The 25460-nt window shown below is 49.1% G+C and overlaps 1 protein-coding gene across 2 annotated transcripts in view, besides 4 other annotated features; it reads left to right on the forward strand.

The window, feature by feature from the left end:
* Positions 1-5863, forward strand: part of STK35 (serine/threonine kinase 35) — a 46729-nt gene extending 40866 nt beyond the window's left edge. For both annotated transcript variants that reach the window (NM_080836.4, XM_011529174.4), the window contains one exon: positions 1092-5863. Coding sequence is in view for 1 of the 2 variants with exons in the window: in XM_011529174.4 (XP_011527476.2) it covers positions 1092-1204 (113 nt within the window). In the remaining variant the exon portion in view is untranslated. The remainder of the gene's footprint in view (positions 1-1091) is intronic.
* Positions 3005-3668: an enhancer, noted in NCBI's record as "H3K4me1 hESC enhancer chr20:2126343-2127006 (GRCh37/hg19 assembly coordinates)". NCBI's record gives its function as "activates a minimal SCP1, AML or CMV promoter by ChIP-STARR-seq in naive H9 embryonic stem cells {active_cell/tissue: H9 hESC(naive)}" and the evidence as "EXISTENCE:reporter gene assay evidence [ECO:0000049][PMID:30033119]".
* Positions 7830-8346: an enhancer, noted in NCBI's record as "H3K27ac-H3K4me1 hESC enhancer chr20:2131168-2131684 (GRCh37/hg19 assembly coordinates)". NCBI's record gives its function as "activates a minimal SCP1, AML or CMV promoter by ChIP-STARR-seq in naive H9 embryonic stem cells {active_cell/tissue: H9 hESC(naive)}" and the evidence as "EXISTENCE:reporter gene assay evidence [ECO:0000049][PMID:30033119]".
* Positions 8347-8862: an enhancer, noted in NCBI's record as "H3K27ac-H3K4me1 hESC enhancer chr20:2131685-2132200 (GRCh37/hg19 assembly coordinates)". NCBI's record gives its function as "activates a minimal SCP1, AML or CMV promoter by ChIP-STARR-seq in naive H9 embryonic stem cells {active_cell/tissue: H9 hESC(naive)}" and the evidence as "EXISTENCE:reporter gene assay evidence [ECO:0000049][PMID:30033119]".
* Positions 20362-20862: an enhancer, noted in NCBI's record as "H3K4me1 hESC enhancer chr20:2143700-2144200 (GRCh37/hg19 assembly coordinates)". NCBI's record gives its function as "activates a minimal SCP1, AML or CMV promoter by ChIP-STARR-seq in naive H9 embryonic stem cells {active_cell/tissue: H9 hESC(naive)}" and the evidence as "EXISTENCE:reporter gene assay evidence [ECO:0000049][PMID:30033119]".

Here is a 25460-nt window from a genome sequence, read left to right on the forward strand (position 1 = left end):
GTTGCAGTGAGCTGTGATCAAGGCACTGTACTCCAGCCTGGGTGACAGAGCAAGACCCTGTCTCAAAAAACCTCCTAGATGATTCCATGTGCAACGAGGCTGGAGCACTGTTGCCCTAGATGGCCCGCCCTGCCCAGGACAGCGCTATACTTAGCACTGATCCGATAGCTCAGAGTGGGCGCTGCCCAAGACTAATCTCTGTGGGCCCTTGTATTCTAGGCCTCCAGTAGAATAAGCCACTGAAGGGCAGGCTTCTTGTCTTATTCCTGAGGCCTGGCACTAAGGCAGTTTCCAAATAATAGCCAACACTAATAGGATCAGGCACTCTTCTTGGTTTTACGTTCATTTAATCTTCATAATAGCCTGTGACGCAGGTACAGGTGATGAGACCAGGGAACAGAGGACTTAAATTCCCCCACAGTCGAGGGGCAGCTCCTGTTTACTCAGTTGCCCGTTCTGGCTCCAGAGCCCTCGTTCTTAACCCCCACAGTGCACTGCAGCAGACAGTGCAGGCCCAGTCCAGCCCTGCCCCTGGGTGTGGGATTCTGGCCCATGTTAAGACCTGAGCAGGTAGCCTGGTTCGGATTCTCAGAGGCCTGAGCTTCACTCTTCTCTTCTGTAAAACAGGATTACTGAACCTAGAGAGGGTTGCTGTGGCGTTTCTAACAAACAGCACAATTAATCACAGAGAGTGGGGAAGAAAGCATGAGTGGAAGCAGTGCTGGCAAGGTCTGTGGGGACAGACTATCCAGGGTGGGCCCTGCGGTGTCTTGCTCCTAATAGTACGGGGAAGCCAGGGTTCAAGATTGGTTTGACAGCTAGAGCCAGCAAGCTTGGGTTCCCAGCTAGTGTCTGCCCCTTAGTCAGTGTGCCCTTGGGTAAGTTACTTAACCTGAGCCTCAGTTTCCCTATCTGAAAAATAAGCATGTGTGAATAAGACCAGGGAGGTTGTGAAGCTAGATTTACCCCATCTCTTTAGAGCTCTGCCCCACAGCCCCCAGCACACACAGCTTCAGTGTTCCTCTGGGTTGAGGGCTGGTGCCCAGGCCTGCTGACCAATGTCCCCTCCTTACCCGCCTTCTGTCTTCCAGGTCGATTCCTCGGGACCCACAGTCTCACCACGTCTCCTCCAGAGGACGGCAGAGGGTACAGGTGGTGGCCTGGCCGGTTGGCGATCTCCCGACAGCTGGATCCGGCAATGTGAAGCTTTTGTTTGGGTTTCCCCGCTTCTTTTTAGTTTTGCTTTATTTTTTTCCTTTTCTTTTCTTTTTTTTTTTTCCTCTTTCCTTTTTTTAAATTTAAACCATTGAGACTTCAGAAGAGCAGGACACAATGCTGTGGACAGGCACCAATTTCTTTAAAGAAATTCAATGTGGGCAAGGCATATGTGTAAATTTCACTTTTACTTTTTATAAGGGGTTAGGGAGCTATTTTTGGTTTTGTCCTTCACTTTCCCTCTGTCTTCCTTCTTTATACTTTTCTCAGTTCTACTTATGACACCTCACTTCCCTAGAGAAGGCCTGCCTCCCCATAGGGAATCTGGGGGTTTCTTCTGGAACGGGGCGTGAGGACACAAGGAGGCCTCTGGGCCACGCCTCCCTACCAGATGCAGGAACTCCTGGACTCCTTGGTGGGCTGGCCCTGGCTAGCCCTTGGGCCTCGGAGATGATCAGAGGTGAAGAACCGCCTGGAAGAGGAAGGCCAGGGTTTGGCCAGGAGAACTAAGAAGGTCTCAACTCCAGGCTTTGTTGTGTTTAAGCTATTGAGAGCCCCAGGCCACACCAGGACTTGCAGTGGTGGGAATCCATTCCTCTTCTGCCCTGTGTTGCAGGGAACTAGGAGGTAAGGGTGGAGGGCGACCATCTCGCTCTTGCTGGCGGTGGAGCAGCCATCCCTGCCTTTCTGTTGGGAAAAACTGTTGTGCCAAACTCTTGTGTGGAACACAGCTGGGTCTTCAGCAGGCATCTGTCACTGCCGTGAGGTCAGCGCTTCTCACCTAACTGCCTCCTGGATTGTCATCTTCCCAGATGTGTCCCATAGTGTCCAGGTGTCACAGAGACGGCCTGAGGCCCTAAGATCTGGTTGTGACTTTGCCATGATAACAGGGTGTCCTGAACTGGCTGCCGTTGTCGTGTTCTCACAGTGAAGGGCGTGCCCTGTGTGCCGGGGTCCATGGTGTCATATGCAGTGACACACACTGTCAAGCGCCATTTCCCTCACCCCTGGAGACTTACTGTTAGGTGCCTGCCCTCAGTATAGACGTATCCAATGGGAAAACAGCGGACCTGCCCAGAGCAGGGAGGTGTCGTGGAACTGGGTAGACCCCCTGCAGCGTTAGGGGCCCATTTGTGGGCTCGCCACCTTCAGGCTTCCCCAGCCATGACACTTCAGCCCCGCCACCCATGCCTGTCTGCTGCAGCCATCCTTGCACTCTCCAGCGACACTCTCGCACCTCCCTAGGGGAAGCTTCCCTCCCCCTGGGCTGCTGCTCTGAGCCCATCTGTTCTCCCCCTGCAAGAAGGGGCAATGCTCTTGTGTTGTCCCTCTGTCTGGACGCGCCTGGCCACTCCGAAGGCTTTTCACCCCATTATGGCCAAATAGTATAGGGCCACTGGGGAGGGGGAAGGGAATCATTTTGTGTTCATTTTTGTTTTCTGTTTCACCTAAACCAGCATAGGATTGATAGGGGAGACGGTTGGCGGGCATTTCCGTTTCTATGTGACCAAGGCAGCAGGGGCTTTTACCTGCTAAGCGGCAATCCTTTGGCCCTGAGAATTTGGGAGAGAACAGTGCATCAGGCCAGGCTCAGCAATATGTTTGCTCACATTCTTTCAGCCTTCTGTCACCCCCCTCAACACCAAACTTTCTTCCTTGTGAGCAGAAGGTTGGCTGCTGTTAGCAGGATCCCACAGTGATAACCAGGCCCTTCCCTTCCTAAGCCAAAACCCATTGTGACTGCCTGTCTCTCCTGTCTCTGACTTCTCAGGCAGCCTCCTGAGTGCACTGAGTTGTATCCGAGAGGGTGGGAACAGCAGCATCCCCTAATTGCAGTACACGGTTCCTTTTCCGCCCGCCACCCTGCCTTTCCTTGGGGGCAGCTGTCTCTCTGTACATGAGCAAATGGGCAAAAACAGTCCCCAAACCCAGCACCCCCCTCTCCCTGGCTGCAGCCCACACTGTAACATCCCTAGTGAGGCTCCAGCCTAATGAGCCCCTTATTTTCTTTTTTTTCCCTCCCCAGGTCTAGTAGCTCTAACTAAAAAGTTCTTGGAGCCATCGTGCTCCCCCTTTGTTATTTTTCTTGCTATCAGAGTAGCAAGAAACAGCACCCCTGTAGGTGACAGGTGGGCAGCCTGGTAGGGGTCGCCAGCCTCCATGCCCCCTCATCTTCCAGTTCTTGCTTAGTGGCACGACCTCTTTCCATAGCATAAATGCAGGCCAGCGTTTTAGCCCCAAGTGCCTGCCCTTGCTTCTTACCCCTCCCCTGCTTTCTCAAACACTTGCCCACCTCAGGCACTCAGCGGGCTCCGCCGTGGTGAGAGAACTGGCCGTGGCTCAGCCCCGGGTAGCACCTGTAGTTTCAGTGCCACTCTCCACTGTCCCCTTGTGGACCAGCTTCCACTCACTGTCACGTCCCCCCTCCTGCGTCTTCACTGGGTCTCAGGCTGCCAGCAGCTCTCTGGTGCATCGTCTCAACACCACCAAGTTTGTAGGACCTGCCCAAGTTCTAGTAGTATTCAAAACTTCAAACGGCAGTCATTTGTTCTCCTCGGCTCTGTGGCAAGGATAGCCCTTTGGAGGGGGACTCTTGACCTCGGCTGTTAGGGATCTGAACTTGGTTTTCCCGTCAGAAGAATCAGCAGGACAGATCGTAGTGCCTTATTCCATTGTCCTCCCCTGGCCAGGCCTCCTGGCTCAGCTGGAAGTGCATGGCTTCTTTCTCCCTATCTGTGTCCTCTGTCACTTGCTCTTTCACTCTCTCTCTCATTCCCAGAGAGCCACGGGGGAGGGATCACCCTCACCCCCAACACCCTCTTCCTGAGGGCTGTAGCCAGGTCCGCATCTCCCCACCACCACCAGGGCACTCACTCGCAGCTATAGCCCAGGACAGAAAAACTGTGCTTTGGACAGGTGCACACTCTCTGCCTCTTACCTCTAGCCAGGAGGATGCCTCAGTCTGTTCATTCGAGACTGGCCCCGTCTGAACCTTCTCTGGGCACTGGGGACTAAGGTTGCAGGCCTTAGCCTCGTCTCGTCCCAGAGGCATTGGATCAGGAGAATGGGAATTTTTTTCCTCCCACCTGGACATAGTTTGCCCCTGTGGCTGCCTTTCTGAGGGAGTATACTAAATGTTTACTTAAGAAACACCCTGTTTACAGCCAGAGGAGAAACACCCAACACTGAGTGGAGATTTGACTCTGGACAGGGCCTGGCCTCCTTAGTGGCACTGCCGGGGGGCCCCAGAGCGAATGAGGGCAGAGATGCCCGGGGCAGGGGCAAACGCCCTCCGCTCCCTCTGCTCCCAACCCTGTGGTGCTAGGACCACTCCCCGCCTTCCCTACGGCCTCCTCGCCCTGCACATTCCCCACCTCCACATTCCCCTCCTCCAAGATCTCAGCTCCTTAACATATCAGTTGTCTCCTAGCCTAGAAAACCAGTGTTTGGAGCAATAAGATGATTATTTTTGCTTGAATCTTTTTCTAAGAGAAGGAAAAGAGCTGGCATTGTGGGAATTTTCTTTTTATGCTGTTAGCTGTTTACCTTCTTAGAAGACATCCTAATAGGATGGATGTCTGGGTTTTAGCCTTGGGGTATCTTTTGGAAACTTAGAAAAGCAGGAGTCAGGCTGCCACCCCCTAAGGAGGGACCCTAACGTTCTGCCCTTGCCTGGTTCCATATGGCTCCTTCCAGCCCTGCCCACCAAGTGCAGCTCCCACTTTCCATCCTGCCCATACGCCCCTCTTCCCCCGACATCTGGGGGCGCTGGTGGCACTTACTCTAGGTTGGTCTCAGACTATCCCTCCCCTTGGCTGGTTTTCCCTCCTAGGCCTGTCTGGCAGCCCCCAGACAGACGTAGCTCCTGGGAGTCTCGGCCCTGGCAACCTTGGAAGAGCCAAGCTGACATTGTTTAGCTCTTCAGGCCACTGGGTTTTGGAGGCAGAAGTCCAGAGATACTGGCTCTGCCAAGCTGTCGTACTGGGCTGTGGCACAGCCTTCGAGACAACACGGGTGTATCTCTGATCCTGCCCTACCTAGGCTTCAAGGGGCTTCTGTCTGGAGAAATGCCCTCAAAGGGTAACCAGTAGGTGTGGCATTGAATTGGCCAGTGTTAGCATCTACAGCCATCACCGAGATGAGTCCACTGCCGTTGCCTGCCCGAGGGCCCCCTAAGGTTATAGACGGTATCAGCAGGGAGGCCGTCCCGCTGGTTTTCTAGGAGAGCCCACAGGAGGAAGGGAGCCTCTTCAGGGGCACTGGAATCTTTTGTGCCAGGGGCTTCTTTTCATCAGAGCCGGGGAGTACATTGCAGTGACTTCTTAAACATTTGTGTGGGACAGACGAGCGTGAGGGAGGTTTTAAGCCAGGCACAAAGTTAGTTTCCAATACTAGTTAATAAATCTATTTTTCTTCATTTCCTTTTTTTGCACAGAAGCTGGTAATCTAGGACCTACGTGTGAACAACTTTATATGAATATTTTTTGTACTTGGTTTACTTGGGTTGGTATGATACATTATATTTAAGTTCCTTGAACACTGTGGATCCCCTAATGTGTATGAATGACTGAGGCTTTGTAAATTAAGGGACGTTTGTGTGAATAAAGTTATTTGATGGGGTCAAAGAAGCCATATGTGATTTGAAAAAGAGTGTTTTGTGGTTTGTTGCCCCTGTTTGGGAGGGTGGCAAGGCCAGCCCATGCGCAGCCCCCCATCCCAGCTGGTGGGTGGTGGGAGAGAAGGATCCTTGGCCGTTTCCATGTCCCCGTGCTTGAAGAAGCTGCCTGATGGCCTTTGACTGACCTTCCCATTCTACACCTGAGAAACCAGCACTTGGAAGTGCAGGAAGCTATCTGAAATCGTGCAGCTGCCACTGGGGGATCCTGGATCCAAACTAAGCCTAGTCTGCCCTTCCAGGGGGTCCGGGGCCTAAGCAAACATTGTGGGCCCCTCCTCCAGACATCTCAGAAGCCCCCTCAACCCCCAACCCTGTGGTTCTGCAAGTTCTGCCTTTGAGAGAGTTTTAACAAAGAGCTAAAAAGGGGGGGTCTCCATACCACAGCAGTAAAGGTGTAAGGATCAAGTTTTGGAAAAGCTCAGCAGAGAGGTCGGTTCCATGAGAGGTCAGAGGTCAGGTCAGTGGCCTGAGGTTGGTAGCACCCGTGTCCAAAAAGCAAAGGGGTCCAATCAAGCCAGGCCATCCTGGTTGGGTTGGGAATGGGAAAAAGAGCACATAGTCCATCTCCCTTTCTGCCTGGGCCAACAAAAGCCACATTCCATGAGGACCAGGGACTGGAATTTATGAAAAGCCACATGTTTTTGTGACCATCGTACTGCATAGCAGGTGTGATGTATGCTCCTCTACGCATAAGAGAACTAAAACCCAGAGAAATCAAGACTGCTGGGTGAGTGCCAGGCGGGCTGGGGAAAGAGCTCCCGCCACTTGCCAGCCGGGACAGGTAACTGAGCCTCGCTGAACATCTACTTCCTCAACGAAAGTGGGGGTGATGACAGCTACCTTCAGACAAGTTGCAGGCTAAATAAGAACCTAATATTGGGCCCAGCACATAGTAGGCACTGAAATGGTTTTTTGATTTTCCCAAAGAGACAGGTTTGGGATTCTTCCGGAGTCTGCTGAGCACTAAGCCCCAACTCCTGGCATCGCGCAGCTTTGGTGAGGCTGCCCAGTCTGGTGAGGGTTGATGTTGACTGTGGAGCCCATCATTCAGGGGCTGTCCCAGGGAGACCCGGGGAACCCAGGACAAATACAACTCCTGCAGGAGGATGGAGTCAGGACTTAGGAATGTGTAAGTTAGAAGAAAAGAGAAGACTGGCTTGCCTAATCTGCGAGTGAATAAGCTACATTCTGGGCCCAAGAGTTGGTGCCCAGTGGCTGCTGGGGATGGGGCTTCCAGAAAAGGATACTTCTGTCCTTAGCCTGGGCGATAACCTGGAGCTTGAAGGACAGCCAACAAATTTGTTTTCTTATTAACAGATTTTTTTAGAGAATTCATCCTTCTGAAGAGTGCAATTCAGTGGTTTTTAGTACATGTACAGAGTTGGGCAGCCATTACACTAGCTAATACCGGAACATCTCCTCAAAAGAAAAAAAAAAAAAAATCCATGCCTGCTGGCAGTCACTTCCTAGTCCTTCCATGTTTTTCATTTCCTTGGGTATATACCAAGCAGTGGAATTGCTGGGTCATATAATCACTGTTTAGTTTTTTGGGACCTGCCAGGCTTTTCCGGAGTGGCTGCACCGTTGTCCATTCCCACCGGCAATGCACTAGGGTTCCTGTTGCCCCACATTTTTGCTATATTGTCTTTTTTATTGTAGTCAATTGAGTGGGTGTAAAGTGGTCACAAGTTGTTATAGGCTAGGTCTACACCATTGTACTACGGGTTAATAGCGGATAAGGGGAGAATAGACAGTAGATGCTTTAGACTCTTGACCCAGACACTGATGCATCCAGCAACTGCCGGGGGCATAGCCTGTGCCTAGGATGGTATAAAGAACACAAACAGGCTCTGATCTTTACTGGCTCTTTGAGGCAGATCACCTTTCTGACTTTATTTTCTCATTTACAAAGTATAAATACTCACTTCGCAGGACTAAAGATTTTACCTGCAAAATGTTTGGCGGGCACCCCTTCAGTGAGCATCTCCTTTCCCTGTGTCCTACAGAGTTAAGGCAGGGCTCAAAGATGAATGGTGAGGAACGTGGGATGTATCACTGTAATACAAGGTCTGAGGTGTGTCACCCAGACCCTGGAGGGAAGGATCTGGAATACAGGACCAGGCCAGTGTCCATGCCAGTGGAAGAAGCTAGACATCCGGGCCCTCACTGATCTTCCTCTCCTAAGCCGCTGCTGGCTGTCCAGCTCCAGCCTCTGCCGTAGTCGTTGGATTAATACCCACTCCCAGCCACCTACTCAGTGCTCTGAGTCAGACAGGCCTTGCCAGCAAGGAGCTCCTGGCCCACGGAAGGGGAGTCAGAAGACAGGTACATCCTCATAGCATGCCAGGTATAACAGAGAGGGAAGCTCCAGGGGCTGTGGAGCTTGGAGAAGGCCCCATTGCAACCCAAGGGCCCTTGGGGAGACTTTTGGAAGAGGCGAGGTCTAAAGGGCCACACTCAGTCCACCCTGTTGCCTGACCTGAGCCTGCCCCTTTCCAGGCCATGCCACAGCCCCTCAGCCTGCAGTGCCCCCTGACAGACTGCTCACCACCCATTGTTCTGAGGGCGTGGTGGGCATGGCGCCCTCACCCTGTTTGAGCCTTTCAACTTGGAGAGCTGCAGGGTCTGCTGGCCTCCCAGGGGGTCTTTACCTTGTGATATCTCACCCTGAGAATCCAAAAGAGATCCTGAGGCATTGAGCTCCACTCCTCAATCCAGTCTCCAACTAACAGATTTCATTTTAAATCATCAGAACAGATCATGCTGTGGCACAGGACACTGTAGGCTCCTATTACGCCTAAGATATTCTCCAGACCCCCTGTCTCCGTGGCCTCCCAGGTCCATTTCCTACCCAGTACCCCCTCAGGCTCTGCCTCCAAGCCATCTTGACCTTATTGCTTAAGCACACAGGACACTTCCGTCTCAGGGCCTTCACACTGGCTGTTTCTGCTACCCGGAACGCGTTCTTTCTTCACTGCCTGATATAGGTCTTTGCTCATTTCACCTGAGAGAGCCTTCCCGGCACCCTTATTTAAAGAAACACCTCACCATCACCACCTCTTTAGCATGCTTTATTTTTATTTATAGCACTTATCACTAGCAGAAAGTTTTATATATTGTATATATACACGTGTGTATATAAATCTGTGTGTATGTATGTGAGATAGATAGATAGATATAGATATGCTTAAGCAGTGCCTGAGAAGGCACATAGTAAATACGTAATATGTATTTATTGATTGCATATCATATCAGAGCATGCTAGTTCACAGACCCAGTAGAATAAACTTCCTTGGGTGCCTGCAGGGTAGAGGGCGGTGCCAGGATAGGAATCCAGGCCTCCTGAGCCCTGGCCCACACCCTGTGCCTGGCCTGCAAATTCTCTTCTTTCCTGAGGCTTAGTCACAGTCCACTTCATTCCCGCCAACCCCTGATAAGTAGGAATGAAACCAGCTACTTGAGAAGGAAATCACCAGATGTGAATGATTATATTATTGGGCTTTGATTTTTTTCATCTGGAAATGGGTCAGCAAACATTTTCTGTGAAGGGTCAAAAAGCAAATATTTTAGGCTTTGCATGCCATAGGGCCTCTGCTGCAGCTCCTCCGCTTTGCTGTCCTAACACACAGCAGCCATAGACACCATGTAAACAAATGAGCAGGGCTGTGTGCCAGTAGAGCTTTATTTATGGGCACTGACATTTGGATTTCACAGAGTTTTCACCAAATTGTCGCAAAATATTGTTCTGTTTGTCTTCAACCATTTAAAAATGTAAAAACCACACACCTAGAGTGGTCCAGGGCTTGCTTTTGAGTGCTGGCTTCTGGACAGCATGGCCCATGACACATGGGTTCAGCTCAGGGACTAGTCCATGTGTCAGGTCCATAGGGGGAAGGAGAGGCCATGTGCATATTGGTGATGGGCAGGCCCAGAGGTTCTGCTTCATCCCCAGCTGGTCCCTTGGTCACAGCTCTGGGTGTGTGGGAGGGAAGTACAGTGTGGGGAGATGGGCATCACCCACCATCTGGCACATCCGTGACCTAGAAGCAGCAAAGTACAAAATGGTAATTGGAAAAGGAGTCAAAATACCTGAATCCAGATCCATCATGGCCTCCTGCCAACAGTGTCGGATGTGGCAAGTTACCTCCTGAGTGTAACAGCATGGCGGATTCTGTAATCAGACAGAGGGGTTTGACCTCTGCGTTACTACTTAGTCTTGTGACCTTGGCCATGTTACTCTCTGAGCCTGTTTTCTCATTTATAAAATGGCAATACGAGCACCCACTTCATAAATTTTTCTGAGAATTAATGAGATAGTGCATATATACTACATAACACAATACTTGGCATGCAGTAAATTATTCATAAATATTATCTATTGATAATATTTTTTAAAAACCAGAAAGACATCCTGTGAAGTGCTTCGCAAATAAAAGAGCTCCAACTTCAAGTGATGTTAAGGAATACTGTGTATTTCCTTCCCTTCCTAGAAGGTGCCAATGCATGCTGATGGCTCTGAGAAGCCCTGCAATAATCCGATTTCTCAGGCTTCTTGGATCCGTGATGCTTCTACATTGAACACCTATTAACATCTTCTAATTCTAGTGTTTTGGGGGAAATGCTGCAGAGCCCGCTTTGGGAGATGCTAACTAAGATCACCTTTGCAGCTCTAAAATCCTAATTCCCTTTCAGAGGACTTTAGCTGCCCCACCCTGTTTCACATGGGACTAGAATCACTTTCCTCTTGTAGAAGCCTCCAGAAATTGCCTGTGTTTGGTCTACTGTTCCTTAAGGACAGACCAGAATATGAAGAATTTAATAACCGCAGTGAGTGCCCTGCCAAAATGCTGTAGGGCCCAGGCCTCAACCTCTTGAATGTGGTAAGAACACAGAGTGCAGTTCCCCCAGCCAGCAGACCACAGACACTGCCAAACCCCTGCATTCCTAGTTCCCACACTGGCAGACCCCAGCCACCCTCCAACTAGTGTTTACCCAGTGCCTAATACGTGCAATTAGCATTCTTCTGGGGGGCACCTATAGTTTAGTGGTTCCGTACACGGGCTCTGCCATGTGACTGCCCAGCTTCAAATCAAGTTACTCTACTTCCTTAGGATTCAGTTTCCTCATATGCAAAATGAGGATAATGACTGTACCTGGGCCAGGCTTGGTGGCTCACGCTTATAATCCCAACACTTTGGGAGGCCAAGGCAGGAGGAGCATTGAGCCTAAGAGTTCAAGACCAGCCTGGGCAACATAGGGTGAACTTGTCTCTACAAAAAATAAAAAAATTAGCCAGGCATGGTGGCATGAGCCTGTCGTCCTAGCTATTTGGGAGCCTGAAGCAAGAGGATCCCTTGAGCCTGGGAGATTGAGGCTGTAGTGAGCCATGTTCACACCACTGCACTCCAGCCTGGGTGCCAGAGCAAGATATTTTATTTGTGTCTCTAAAATAAAGTAAAATAGTAAAATAAAACAACAGGAAACCGCACCTGTGTCTGTGAGGATTAGGTACCGCTGGACAAACAGTAGACCCCAAACAGCAGCCACAGAAAAAGCTAGAGCTTGGTTTCTCTCTCACATGAAATGGTGGCAATCCAGGACTTTCATGCTGGTTACCCAAAGTCTTCAGGGATCCCATCTCCTGGTCTTCAACAAGTGGCTTCTATCTTCAAGGTCACCTCCTGGGCCAGGATAGCTGCTGGAGCTTCAGGCATTTCATCCTCATCCCAAATAGCAGCAGAAAGGGAGAGAGGAAGAGAACTTGCCCTCTTTTTAAGTAACTTTCCTGGAGACACAACCAAACTTCCACTTATATCTCATTGGCTAGAACTTGTTCACATGGCCACATCTGAAGCCAAGGAGGCCAGGAAACGGGCAGTGGTCCTGTCACAAAGGCCAAGGGGAGACTGGACGTTGGGGTAGGCAACTAGCTGCTCTGCCACACGGAGTGTGCCCCTGGCTCATTCCAATAACAGCTAGGTATTATCATTATTAATATTAGCTCTGCAGACCTCGGCAAAGACAAGAAAACTGCCTAGGCCTTGTCTGTTGGTGTACCATTTATTCAGTAAACATGCATGGCATCTATATGTCAGCTCTCTTCTAGGGCTGGGAATATAGAAGAGATGTGGGAAGAGGCAGTATCTTGTGATGAAGAGAGTGGGGTCTGAAATACAGAGCCTGGGTTAGAGCCCCATGTTGGCCACTTTCTGTGTGATCCTGAGAAATGGATGTAACTTCTGTGGGCTTTGTTGTCTTTGTCTCTAAGATGAGGAAGATGATAAGAATGCCATCACAGGATTATTCTCAGGGTGAAATGCATTAGTACAAATAAAGGGCTTTGAATACTTCGAGGGAGAAGGCTCTGATTCTTTCAATGGACCCACGCAGCTGCTCCATGGGTCCGTGGAGCAGCTTGCTTTGCTTTTACAAAGCTTTACTTTGCTTTCACCCTGCCCGCCTTAAGTATTCACTGAGCACGTACTTTGCTAGGTACTGGGGATTCACAGATGAAATACATGTAGATCTGTATCCCCTAATCACACAAATGTTTCCTGAGCCTCTGCTATGTGCAAAACTCCATGCACCAGATGACAATACTGAAAGAGACTTGGCAGAGCTGTGGAGGCAGGTGTGGGATATATTAAGGACATACCTTGAGAACTTTTGTTCCAGGCAAGAGGGATCTAAGGGGCTAAGAGAGGTGGGTCTGGTCCCAGCTGTGTTGGTGAGAGGTAGCGTGTGGACATCTGTGTTGCATAATTCTGGACAGGCAGCAAAGCCTGACCTGTGGATGGGGCCTGGGAGAGGAGGACACCCAATTCCAGCACAGAAAAGTAGTACTGTATTTTCCTGGGTCATCAAATGAGCAGTAATCTGGGAACAAAAGATGATTAGCCATGGATGCCTGCCGAGCTGAGCCAGTTGCTTGCACCCCGGAACCCAGCCAGTGCTCTGCTCTCAGGGTCCCAAACTCGCTTCCCTGGACTGTCCTTTGAGACTCTCACACCCACTCTCCAGCCAGCTTTGGAGAACAGTTAAAATAGCAAGTTCTGCCCATCTGTGTCAGTTCCAAGCACTCCTTCAATATATGTTCTATGGTAAGCAACAGAATTCCACTAGGCATGGTTTACAGCCCTCACTAGGAGGACGCTGGAAGGACATTGCAGGAGGAAAAGGCTCCCTACAATATCCTGCATGGGGGAGGGGGGAGGCGTCTGCAGTGGATTCCTACCCTAGCCATAGGCCCAGAACACAATTTCTGTGCGACTCTGCAGCCTCAGTCTAGTGGTAACTTTTCTACAGCCTCGTAAAACCAAAGCCCTCATGTGGCCTGCACACAGTTGACTGTGGCTGGGGTCTCGCATCCCCAGCAGCAGAGCAAGCTCATGTTCAGCCCTGATTGTCTAAAGACTTCTTGCTCCCACTGGTGCCTGGACTCCCACTGCATGTCCATGATGCTGCGTGCCCATGACAGTGGTTGCTGAAGGCCTTGTCTCCTTGACCACACTCTGGAGGGCCTACTGCTCACCCAGCAGCTCCAGGCCAGCTCCAGCCTGACTACACCATCAAACTTCTCCGCTATCCAGTGGCTGAACTACAGCTTTTCCAACAAAGTCCAAACTCCTTCCAAGTTTGCCCTTCCTTGGGCATTTATGAAAATACTACAGCTAACATCATACTAACGGTAGAAGACTGAGTAACTTCCCCCTAACATCAGGAATAAGGATGTCCGCCCTTATCATTCAACATTGTACTAGCGTTTCTAGCCAGTGCCATCAGTCAAGAAATAAAGAAATAAAAGGCATGAGATTAAGAGAAGTAAAACTGTTTTTATTTGCAGATGACATCATCATCTATGTAGAAAATCTAATGAAATCTATAAAAAGCTATTAGAACTAAGTGAATTTGGCAAGGTTGCCAGATTCACGATCCATATACAACAATCAATTGTATTTCCATATGCTAGCAATAAATAATCAGGAATTGAAATGGAAAAAATAATACCCATTTAAAATATCATCAAAAAGTATGAACTACATATGGATAAATCTGGCAAAAGAAATCAAAGATTTGCATGGTCTACAAAATATTGCTGGGAAAATTAAAGAAATTTAAATAAATGAGGAGATATAAGTCGATCCTCACTATTTTGTATTTGCAAATTCACCTACTCACTAAAATTTATTTGTAACCCCAAAATCTAACCACAGGGCTGTAGCAGTCACTCAGAGACATGTACAGGCAGCAAAAATGTGAGTAGCCAGATGCTCACGTTCCCAGCTGAAGTCATACAAGGCAACTCCCTGCCTTCTTGATTCAGGTCTTATAACTGTTGACAAGGATCCTTTCCACAGTCTATTTAGTGCCATGTTTTTCACATGTATGCTTTTCGCTGGTGACTTTAAACTGTCCCTATATATAGTGCCCAAGTGCTGCCTCATGTTCCCACATACAAGGAGGCTGCAGTGTGCCTCATGGAGAAGACACATGTGTTAGGAAAGCTCCGTTCAGGGGTGAATTATGGTGCTGTTGGATGTGAGCTGAATGTGGATGAATCAACAGTGGCTACTATAGGCCAGGCACGGTGACTCACGCCTATAATCCCAGCACTTTGGGAGGCCGAGGTGGGTGGATCACCTGAGGTCAGGAGTTTGAGACCAGCCTGACCAACATGGTGAAACCCCATCTCTACTAATAATACAAAACTTAGCTGGGCATGGTGGTGCACGCCTGTAATCCCAGCTACTCAGGAGGCTGAGGTAGGAGAATCGCTTGAACCTGGGAGGTGGAGGCTGCAGTGAGCTAAGATCATGCCATCGCACTCAAAAAAAAAAAAAAAAGAAAATAGCTATTACATAAGGTGCCTTTAAAGAGAAATGCACACAAAGCAAGGTAATGTATTATCAATGGACAAGAATGTTGGAGCCAGAGGCTCACAGGAACTGCACTCTGTACTTCCCCTGGGATCAATGGTTCAGTATTTGCTAATTCAGTGTTCGTGGACACTTTACAAAACATAACTACCATGAATAACAAGAATTAATCATAGTTTGTTCGTGGGCCGGAAAACTCAAAGTCATTAAGATGGCAATTCTCTCTGAACTCACCTATAGATTCACTGGAATCCCCACCAAAATCTCAGCAGGCTCTTTTTGTAGGAGTCGACAAGCTGATTTTAAAACTCATATAAAAAAGTAAAGGGGCCTAAAATGGTCAAAACAACTCTAAAAAAGAACAGTTAGAGGGCTAACACTATCTGATTTGAAGAAGTATTATGAAGCTACATTAATCAGAACAGCATGGTATTGGCATAAAGATAGGCATATAGATCAACAGACAAGAATAGTGAGTCCAAAATTAGATCCACATGTATTTAGACAACTGATTTTTGACAAAGTTACAAAGGCAGTGCTGTGGAAAAAGGCTAGCGTTTTTAACAAATGGTGCTAGAATAACCAGATAACTATATTTAAAAAAATAAACTCAATATATGCCTCACACTGTATACAAAAGTTAAATCGAAGTGGATCAAAGATTTAAATATAAAATGACAAAACTTCTAGGAGAAAACATACAAGAAAATCCCGATGGCACTGGCAGATATCTCTTAGATGACAGCAAAAGCACAATTTATAAAAGAACAAATGGATAAATTGAACCACATCAAAATTTAAAACTTCTGTATTTCGGCCGGGCGCAGTGGCTCACGCCTGTAATCCCAGCACTTTGAGAGGCTGAGGCAGGCAGATCACGAGGTCAAGAGATCAAGACTATCCTGGACAACATGGTGAAACTCCATCTGTACTAAAAATACAAAAATTAGCTGGTCGTGGTGGCACGTACCTGTACTCCCAGCTACTCAGGAGGCTGAGGCAGGAGAGTCGCTTGAACCCAGGAGGCGGAGGTTGCAGTGAGCCGAGATAGTGCCACTGCACTCCAGCTTGAAGACAGAGCAAGACTCCATCTCAAAAAAAAAAAAAAAAACCTAAAAACTTCTGCATTTCAAGGGACACTGTTAAAAGAATAAACAGACAAAACAGACTGGGAGAAAATCTTTACAAAGCATGTATTTAATAAAGAATTTGTATCAAGAATATAAAGAACTGTCAAAATTGAATAATAATAAAACACCCCCGCAAGCTGGCAAAAGATTTGAATAGACATGTCACCAGAGACCATAAGCATGGCAAACTGCACATAAAAAGATGCTCAACATCATTTGCCATCAAGGAAAATTAAATTGAAAAGTTTTAAATTTAAATTTAATTGTTTTATACTTAAGTTGTAAACATTTTAAATTTAAATTTAAAGATCAAATTAGGCCGGGCACAGTGCCTCACGCCTGTAATCCCAGCACTTTGGGAGGCCGAGATGGGTGGATCACCTGAGGGCAGGAATTGCAGACAAGCCTGGCCAACATGGTAAAACCCCGCCTCTACTAAAAATACAAAAATTAGCTGGGCGTGGTGGCATGCACCTGTAAACCCAGCTACCCAGGAGGCTGAGGCAGGAGAATTGCTGGAACCTGGCAGGCAGAGGTTTCAGTGAGCCGAGATCACACCACTGCACTCTAGCCTGGGTGACAGAGCAAGACTCCGTCTCAAAAAAAAAAAAAAAAAAAAATCAAATTAAATCTCCAATAAGGTGCTACTTGCTACACACCTATGTTGGTAAGTAGGAGGAAGAACTGGAACTCTTATGCCCTGTTGGTAGGATGGAAAATGGTATTACCACTTTTGAAACACTTCAGCAATTTCTTAAAAATTAACCATAAACTCCAGCCATTTCACTTCCAGGTACTTACTCAAAAGAAAAGGAAATCCATGTTCATGCAAAGACTTAGATAAGTACATCTTTATTTATAATAGCCCCAAACTGGAAACAACCCATCTGTCCATCTGCATATCAATGCATGGATAAAAGAATTGTGGTATATCCACACAGCCAAATGCTACTCAAGAACACAAAGGAAAACTAGGCATACATGCAGTAACATGGGTGAGTCTCAAAGTAACAATGCTGAGGGAGAGGAACTAGACACAAAGAGTATGATTTTATTTACATAAAACGCTAAAAAATGCAAACCAATCTATAGTAACTGAAAGCAAGTCAGTGGTTCCTTCAAGATGGTGAAGGGCTGCAGGGGAATATGACAAAGATACCCGAGGAGGGCCGGGGGCAGTGGCTCACGCCTGTAATCCCAGCACTTGGGGAGGCCGAGGCCTGTGGATCCCTTGAGGCCAGGAGTTTGAGACCAGCATGACCAACCAACATGGTGAAACCCCATCTCTACTAAAAATACAAAAATTAGCGGGGCGTGGTGGCAGGCGCCTGTAGTCCCAGCTACTAGGGAGGCTGAGGCATGAAAATCAGTTGAACCCAGGAAGCGGAGGTTGCAGTGAGCTGAGATCGCACCACTGCACTCCAGCCTGGGCAACAGAGTGACAGTCTGTCTCAAAACAAAACAAAAAACCAAAGATACCTGAGGAGAATTAGTTGTGACGGGTGTGTTCACTCCCTGGAATACGGTGACGATTTCATGCGTGTACACATATGTCAAAACTTATTAAGTCGTATATTAAAATATGGGCAATTCATTGTGTGTCAACTATACCTCAATCAAATTGTTTTTAAAAAGTAGGAAGGACATAAGAGTTCACCTGAAGGGGCCCCTACCTGGAGGCCAAACTTGGAACAATTTGAGCGTCAAATAAGAACAGTGATGATAATGGATTTACAACACATCGAACAATAATAATAGTTTTTTAATCTGTGTATGATGATACTACGAAAGCAGGGGAGAGGGAAGGGAGAGGAAAGCTTTACAGAAGAACATAGAAAGGATAATGGGAAAAATCTCTATTTGCAGCTACTAATGCAATAATTGATTCAGGCAAGGCATCAATAGCTGCTAAAATCACTATGTGAAAATTCGTGAGGAAACAGGTACTCACATATCTCAAATATCATAATTCATCACACAGATGAATTACTATGTACAAAAGGAAAGATTAGCTTTATAATGGAGAGATCTTCGGGAACACATTAGTCAAATGATCACACCTTAGCATTACCAATGATGAGACAAACTGGCAGGAGGCCCCTCCTTATATAACACAATGGGAGACACAGCCTCCCCTCTGCAGATCTCGTGCCCAGAATGCTTAGCCAAGTCTAATCACAAGGAAACAATCAGACACACCCAAATTGAGGAACATTCTACAAGACACCTGGGCTGTCTCTTTTACAAATGTCAATGTCATGAAAGGAAAAAAAAGGTGGGGGCGATGGTACAGTGGGGACTATTCATTCCAGATTAGACCCTAAAGGAATGTAACAACCAAAGGAAGTGCCTGATCCTTGATGGAATCCCGTACTGAAAAGAATAAAAGTAAAACTGCTATAAAGGACATTATCGAGACATTTGGGGAACTAGAATATGAGCTGTATGAGGACAGCCTTGTAACAATGTTAAACATTTTGGTTATTCTGGTATTTAGTTAGTATTTTTGTTGTGTGGGAGAATGCCGCTTGTTGTAGTATTCTGCTTGATACACGGATGCATGCCCAAGTTTTTAGGGGTGAAGCTTTATGATATCTCTCTCGCTCTCTCCCACCCTGCCCTACCCCAGCCACATACCTGCCTACCAAGAGAACAGCACAAATGTGGCAAAATGCTAACTAGGGAGGCTTGGCGAAGGGTGTAAGGGTATTCATTGCATGATTCTTTTAATTTCTCTGTAGTACAAAAATATTCAAATTAAAAGCTAGAGGGCAGGCTGGGCGTGGCAGCTCACGCCTGTAATCCCAACACTTTGGGAGTCCGAGGCAGGTGGATCATTTGAGATCTGGAGTTCAAGACCAGCCTGGCCAACATGGTGAAACCCCATCTCTACTATAAAAAAAAAAAAAACAAAAATTAGCCGGGCATGGTGGCAGACATCTATAATCCCAGCTACTCAAGAGGCTGTGGCAGGAGAATCATTTGAACCCAGGAGGCGGAGGCTACAATGAGCTGAGATCGTGCCTCTGCACTCCAGCCTGGGTGACAGAGTGAGACATCATTTAAATAAATAAATAAAAGCTGGAGGGGAAAGGTAGGGGTGGCTGGTCCAGAAGGGTCCTTCCAGCTCCAAGAGTCAGCTACCAGCTCTGACCTTTGATTGCCAGTACCTGGGCCCCTCCTGCCCACCTGGCAGCATCTTCCTTCTCCCAGCAGCCATGGTGCTGTCCATCCTGCCGGACCTGGACCACTGGGAGCAGGAGGTCACCTCCTCCTGCCCATAGCTCAGAATGAAAGCATAGGTGAGTTGCAGAGGAGGGAGCAAATATGGAGAAGTAATAGATGGGCAGGCTGCAGATGGGAGGGAGCATGGCCTCAGGAGGTAGGGGACCCCCAGATCTGTTTGTAGATGAGAGACCCACAGCTGCCACTCTGTGCATGTTGATAGGACCAGACTTGCCCTCAGGTCTGCTGGCTGGAAGCCTGCAGTGGTGTCCATCCCTCCGAGTCCTCACCATGCATACATCCTCTACTCTCCTCTCCCCTCACTCACGCCGTTCCAGCCTCCCCACACCCCCACCCTGCCCTGAGCTGCTGTGTTATGGCAAGGACACACAGGCCTGCCCCAGGGCCCCTGCACTTGTTCACTCTCCTGCACTGCTTCCCCCTGCCCCTGCCCTGATGTCTGCCCAGCCACACCCTCGCCTCTGTCTTCCTTGCTGGCTTTGTTTTTGTTTTTCTCCAGAGGACACATCACCATGTGACATCCCACCTGCGTGTCATGCTTCTTGTCTGTCTCTCCCCCCACATGCCAGGGGCATCATTTTTATCCACTGTGTTCGCTGCCATATCCCCAGCATCTAGTAGGGTGCAGGGTACATGGTAGATGCTCAGTAAAGAGTTTGTGAGTGAATGACTCCAAAGCCAGGTTTCTGCTTTCCCTTGGACAGTGGTGTCTGTGTGTGAATGTGTGTGTGTGTGTGTGTGTGCGCGCGCGTGCACGTGTGTCAGTTGGGCAGGTTGGAGGGTGTCCAGCCAGCTGGGTCATTCCTCTGGGACTCATTTCCTGGGGTGCAGGCAGAGTTCTCAGAGGGCTGTGAGGACGCCACTTGCAGCATCAACACATTACATAATCTGGCACTGGACAGCGGTGAGGGGCAGGCAAAGCCTTTATTCTGTGTTTGCCCAGAGAAACTTCCCCAGGTCATGTCCTAAGCTGCCAGCTCTTCAGCTTTGTGCTCTCTAATTGCCCTGACAGATCCCACCACCCATTCACCCGGCCCACTGGCTCTGAAAGAAGACTGCATGGGTGACGCTCGGAGCTTGGGAGGAGCCCAGGCCCTGGTATGTTCTGGATGCTGTTGCCTGGGGCCTGAGCCCCACCCAGGCAGTGATGACCCTGCGAGGCCGAGCCTCTCCATCCTCCCGTCTGTACACGCGCAGGGCTCCAGGTGCTCCCTCTGGTGCCGCCTCGCTGCCTTCTGAGCTTTCCTGAGCTTGGACTCATGGCCTGAGCTGCCCCTGTGGGCACAACCGGATGCCTCCTCCTACCCACAGAGTGGCTCAGGTAGCTCATCCTCTGTCCACCTGGGACTAGCACTGTCACTGACCTCTCAGAGTTATGGGGACACGGTGCATGTCAGGAGTCCAGCTCCTTCTCAAAGGTCAGTGAGTGACAGCTATTGTTGTAGTCACAGTCCCTGAGGGTCCACAGTGAGCAAGGCCATGCCAGCTCCCGGGGCTTCAGAATCAGCCATCCCTCCAGTCCCTGCTTTGTTGGCACATGGAGCCCGGTACAGGGAGATACATATACATAAACAAACGTATACGTATACATCAGGCAGGGAGAGCTTTGAAGAGAGAAGTCAGGTCATGGGATATGGAGGGCCAGGCCGTCAGGGCAGCTTCCCTGCAGAGGTGACAGCTGAGCAGAGGCCTGACTGGAGTTGGGGTGAGCCAGGCGGTGGCTGGGAGGGGGAGCAGCAGGTTCAGAAGCCCTGAGTGGAGGGTTGGGGGCGTCTAGGCCAGGCTGGCTGCAGCAGAGGAAGCAAGGGGAAGAAGGGAAGTCGGAGGTGTCAGATCAGGGGCTTTGCAGTCCTTTGCATGGTCCCTGGTTTTCCTCCAAGTAGGGAGGGGTACTTTTGAGGGTTTTGAGCAGAGTGGCAGGATCTGGCTTCCATTTTCAAAGGGTCCCTTGGCTTCTATATTAGGAATAAATTGGGATGGAGATGGCTGAAGAAGCAGGCAGATGGGCCAGGAGGAGCCCCATGAACTCGGAAGGGCTGGAGGTTCTTGGGCCAGGCTGTCAGGGTGGAGACGTGAGAAGTGGCCAGAGCCTGGAGAGCTCTGGGAGTGGCCAACAGGTTGGCCATGACAATAGAATCTAGGCAGTCCTACTCCAGAGCCTCACCCTCCACTTGCTGCCCCCTGAGCCCAGACGGGACTGTGGAAAGGTCAAGGCCTAAGGAGCATAAGAAGTGACTGACAAACGTTAGCTCCCTCATCCTGGGGAGGAGGGGAGAATGGAGTGTCAGGAGCACAGCTGTTGACTCTTAACACCTTCTTTGTGTCATGCCCTGATGTACCGGTTACACTTCTAATCTCCACAGCACCCCCTGAAACTGCACACTGTGGTCCTCATTTTAAATAGAGAGGAACTGAGGCTCGATGAGTGGGGAATGACTTGAACCAAGGGCTGCTGGCTCAGTCGAGGCACCAGCATGAGGGTCGTCCTTCCCTTTCTCAGAGACCTCCTTTATAAAGAGGCTGTGGTTGAGGCCAGGGCTCACCTCCACCCCATCAGCATCTCAAACTGTTTTCTCTAGAGTCACATAGCACTTTCCTCTGAGAAGAGGGGCGCCCATCACGGTTTTCCCTACCCTATTGCAGGGCCAGTGACATCTCCACGCCTTTTACCCATCTGTGCCTTCCTGCTTCCCCCAAATGTGCCCATACCTCCACCCACCTGTCCAAGGGTGCCTCAGCTCAATAGGTGAAAGGTGGAGCTAACCTCCTCTCCCATCTGCACCCTCCATCATACTCCTCCTCCTGTCCCCTGGGGACAAGGACGCATATGCTTCTCCCAGCCCTTGGCAGGTACTAGCAACTCACTGCGGGCATCTGCTCTAGGAGCTAGGCACAATGGGTAACCCCATTGTACAGATGAGAAAAGCAAAGCACACGGATGTTAACCCACTTGCCTGAAGTCAGCCAGCAGGTGACTGGCGGAGCTGGGATTTGAACCTAGGCAGTCCTGCTCCAGAGCCTGACCCTTCACTCGCTGCCCACTGAGCCCAGATGGGACTGAGGGGAGGTGGAGGCCCAAGGTGCATAAGAAGTGCTTGACAAATGTTAGCTCCCTCGTCCTGGCCTTCAGACAAAATACTGCAGCCTGGAAAGCCTCACTGTGACACGATTGCATGCTGCTAGGTGTGTTGTTACTGCTCCTATTCTACCGATGAGAAAACCAGTGCTGCTGGAACATCAGCCAATTCCCCACAATGAGGAGGAGGGAACCTGAGCCCGACGCGGAAGCAGCAGACCCAGATGAAGGGAGTCCCTTCAGTGTCTTTCCTATGTGACCATCAAGCACGCGCCAGGGAGGCGTCAACCCGGTCGACTGCAGTCCAGGCGTGGGAGGGAAAGCCAAGTCCGAGGCCTATTTTACACTTTTGAGTTTTCCTCTGGATGAAAAAAGCAGTTCATTAGTGAGATGGCCACTGCGTCCTGCGCCTGAAACGTCGGTAGCAGAGGTAATTGGGGGCCTCTGTCTGGCCTCTCAGTCCTTGAGAATTTTCAGGTAGATTTTAGCCGGGAGCACTGAATTCTACTTACAATGTAAAATGCGTCTGTGAAGTGTTTTCTCTGAAGTGGGAGTAGGTAATTGATTTTTTAAAGAAAGCCACCTTTTGGATTCCGGAAAACACTTTCAGGTCCGTCTCTTATTTTTCAGCACATAAAGGCAATTATCCCAGGTCAGCACTTCCCACAGGAAATGGGACTCTAATTTTGCACAACAAATGTTTCACTGTTGCATTTTCCTTATTGCAAGAGAGATTGTTGTCCCAGCTTGTTTCACATCAGAGTGAGAAAAACCAAGCCCTGCCTTAAACAGTGGCTGAGGTTAGAGATTCCACAGGGTTTCGAAAGCCCTCTGTGTCCAACTCACCATGTGTTGCTGGCAGAGCCGCTTTCCTGCTCCGTGCCTTAGTTTCCCCATTTGTACAGTAGTGATCAGCACAGCACCACCTCTAATAATTCCCAGCAGTGGTACATGGTAAAAATGGTCACGCGATCCCTTTCCTCTCTCTATGCCCTTTGGAAATCTCTTCCTACCCCGACAATGGTCATGGCCACATGACTTGCTTTGGCCAATGGTGACAATAACAAACATAATGCAAGCTGAGGCTTGGAAGCACCGCCGCTCTTTGGAACGCTGAGACCACCATGAATGAGCCTGAGCTAGCCTGTTGGAGGGTGAGAGGCCACATGAGACAGCAGTGAGCCCTCCCGGCTGCGCCAGACAGATGCCTGAGGCCATCCTAGATGAGCTGGTCTAGACCGGAAGATCCATGGAATCGTTAGAAATAATTGCTTATTGTTTTTGTTTGTTTGTTTGAAAGGGAGTCTCACTCTGTTGCCTAGGCTTAAGTACAGTGGTGCCATCTCAGCCCATTGAAACCTCTGCCTCCTGGGTTCAAGAGATTCTCCTGCCTCAGCCTCCCAAGTAGCAGGGATTACAGGCACCCGCCACCACACCCGGCTAATTTTTGTATTTTTAGTAGAGACTAGGTTTCACCATGTTGGCCAGTCTGGTCTTGAACTCCTGACCTCAGGTGATCTGCCCACCTGGGCCTCCCAAAGTGCTAGGATTACAGGCGTGAGCCACCGCACCTGGTCTGCTTATTGTTTTAATCCATTAAACTTAGGGGATGTTTCGTTGCACAATAGGAGCTGACACGTCCCCTCTTGTTCTTGTACCTGTTAGAATCTTTGGTTCTTGGAAGAATGGAGAATTTATTGGGAGATTATTAGGGAACACAGAATTGAGGCAAAGGCTGGAGAGGCAGGCTTGGAATCAGGCAGGAACCAGAAGAGAAGTTACCTGATTGTCAGGACCCCAACTATGGGATTAGCATCTCCACTAATTCTCCCACCCTTCATCATTCCACTCAGACGATAACGTCCCATATGGCGAGATGGTGAGGTCACACATCTCACTTCGGCTGTATGAGTGCAGTGAGAGGCAGGACCTAAGGAAAATGCACTCACAAGGGAGCAAAAAGGCCTGGCACCCCCAGAGCCAGTCGATCTCGGTTCAAATCCCAGTCTGCTACCTGCTAGCAAGTTTCCATTTCTCTGAGCCTTGCTTTTTCCCTGAAAGAGAGCTGGGAGCTGCATCTGTGTCTGGGCGTAAGGTTATGGTAAAGATTCAATGAAATATCTATGTAAAGTGCTTAGAACATTAGTACCTGGCATTCAGAAAACATTCAATAAATGTTAGTGTTATTGTTATTATTTATTATTATTAATTTATTCTGCAGGGGAGGGGAGAACTATAATTTATTTTGGGAGATGTAGCAAATCCCTAAGACTCCACAGGATGTGGAAATCAGGGTACTGTTAGGAAGGGGAGTAGGATACTGGGTGACTAAAGATGACAACTGTCCCCTCTAGCGGTGTTATGAGGCTCCACCTTCATCATTCCTTTCCTGCGCACCTACTGTGTGCCAAGCCTAGTGCAGGCGAGGCAGAGACAGGTGTCAACAAGAGGGACTTGGTCCCTGCTCCCCTGGAGCTTGCCTTCTAGTTGGGGAGAGGCTGGCGATGAATAAGTGAATCAATAAATCACATGGTCATTTCTGAGTGCACCAAGTCCAAGATGCATGAGAAAAAAAGGGACGAGATGCTACTTAGGGAGTGGAATGGGGATGAAAGAAGTCTCATGATGCCGGTTTAAAAGGAGTGATTCAGCATTTAGTAGCTGCTGCACAGTCCCTATCGAGGAGCTGGCAGCACGTAAGTCCTCTGGACGTGTTGTTTCCAATCCCCAAGATGGGGAGCAATGGGAACCCATGGTGGAGAGTGGAGGGGTCAGGGATCCTGGCTCCCAGTTCTTTTTTTTTTTTTTTTTTTTTTTGAGATGGAGTCTCACTCTGTCACTAGGCTGGAGTGCCCTGGCACCATCTCAGCTCACTGCAACCTCCGCCTCCTGGGTTCAAGCAATTCTCCTGTCTCAGCCTCCTGAGTAGCTGGGACTACAGGTGCATGCCACCGTGCCCAGCTAATTTGTGTATTTTTAGTAGAAACGGGGTTTCATCATGTTGGCCAGGATGGTCTCCATCTCCTGACCTCATGATCCACCCGCCTCGGCCTCCCAAAGTGCTGGGATTACAGGCGTGAGCCACCGCGCCCAGCCGGCTCCCAGTTCTTATTGTGCATCTTGGGCAAGTCGCTTCCCCTCTGTGAGCCTGATTTTTCACGTTGATGCAATTAAGGCACCGAATGGATCATCAATTTCCCCAAAACACTTTAGCCTTTCTTTTTTTCCTTGTGAGACCC

This window comes from Homo sapiens, chromosome 20, assembly GCF_000001405.40.
Source record: "Homo sapiens chromosome 20, GRCh38.p14 Primary Assembly".
Lineage (NCBI taxonomy): Eukaryota > Metazoa > Chordata > Mammalia > Primates > Hominidae > Homo > Homo sapiens.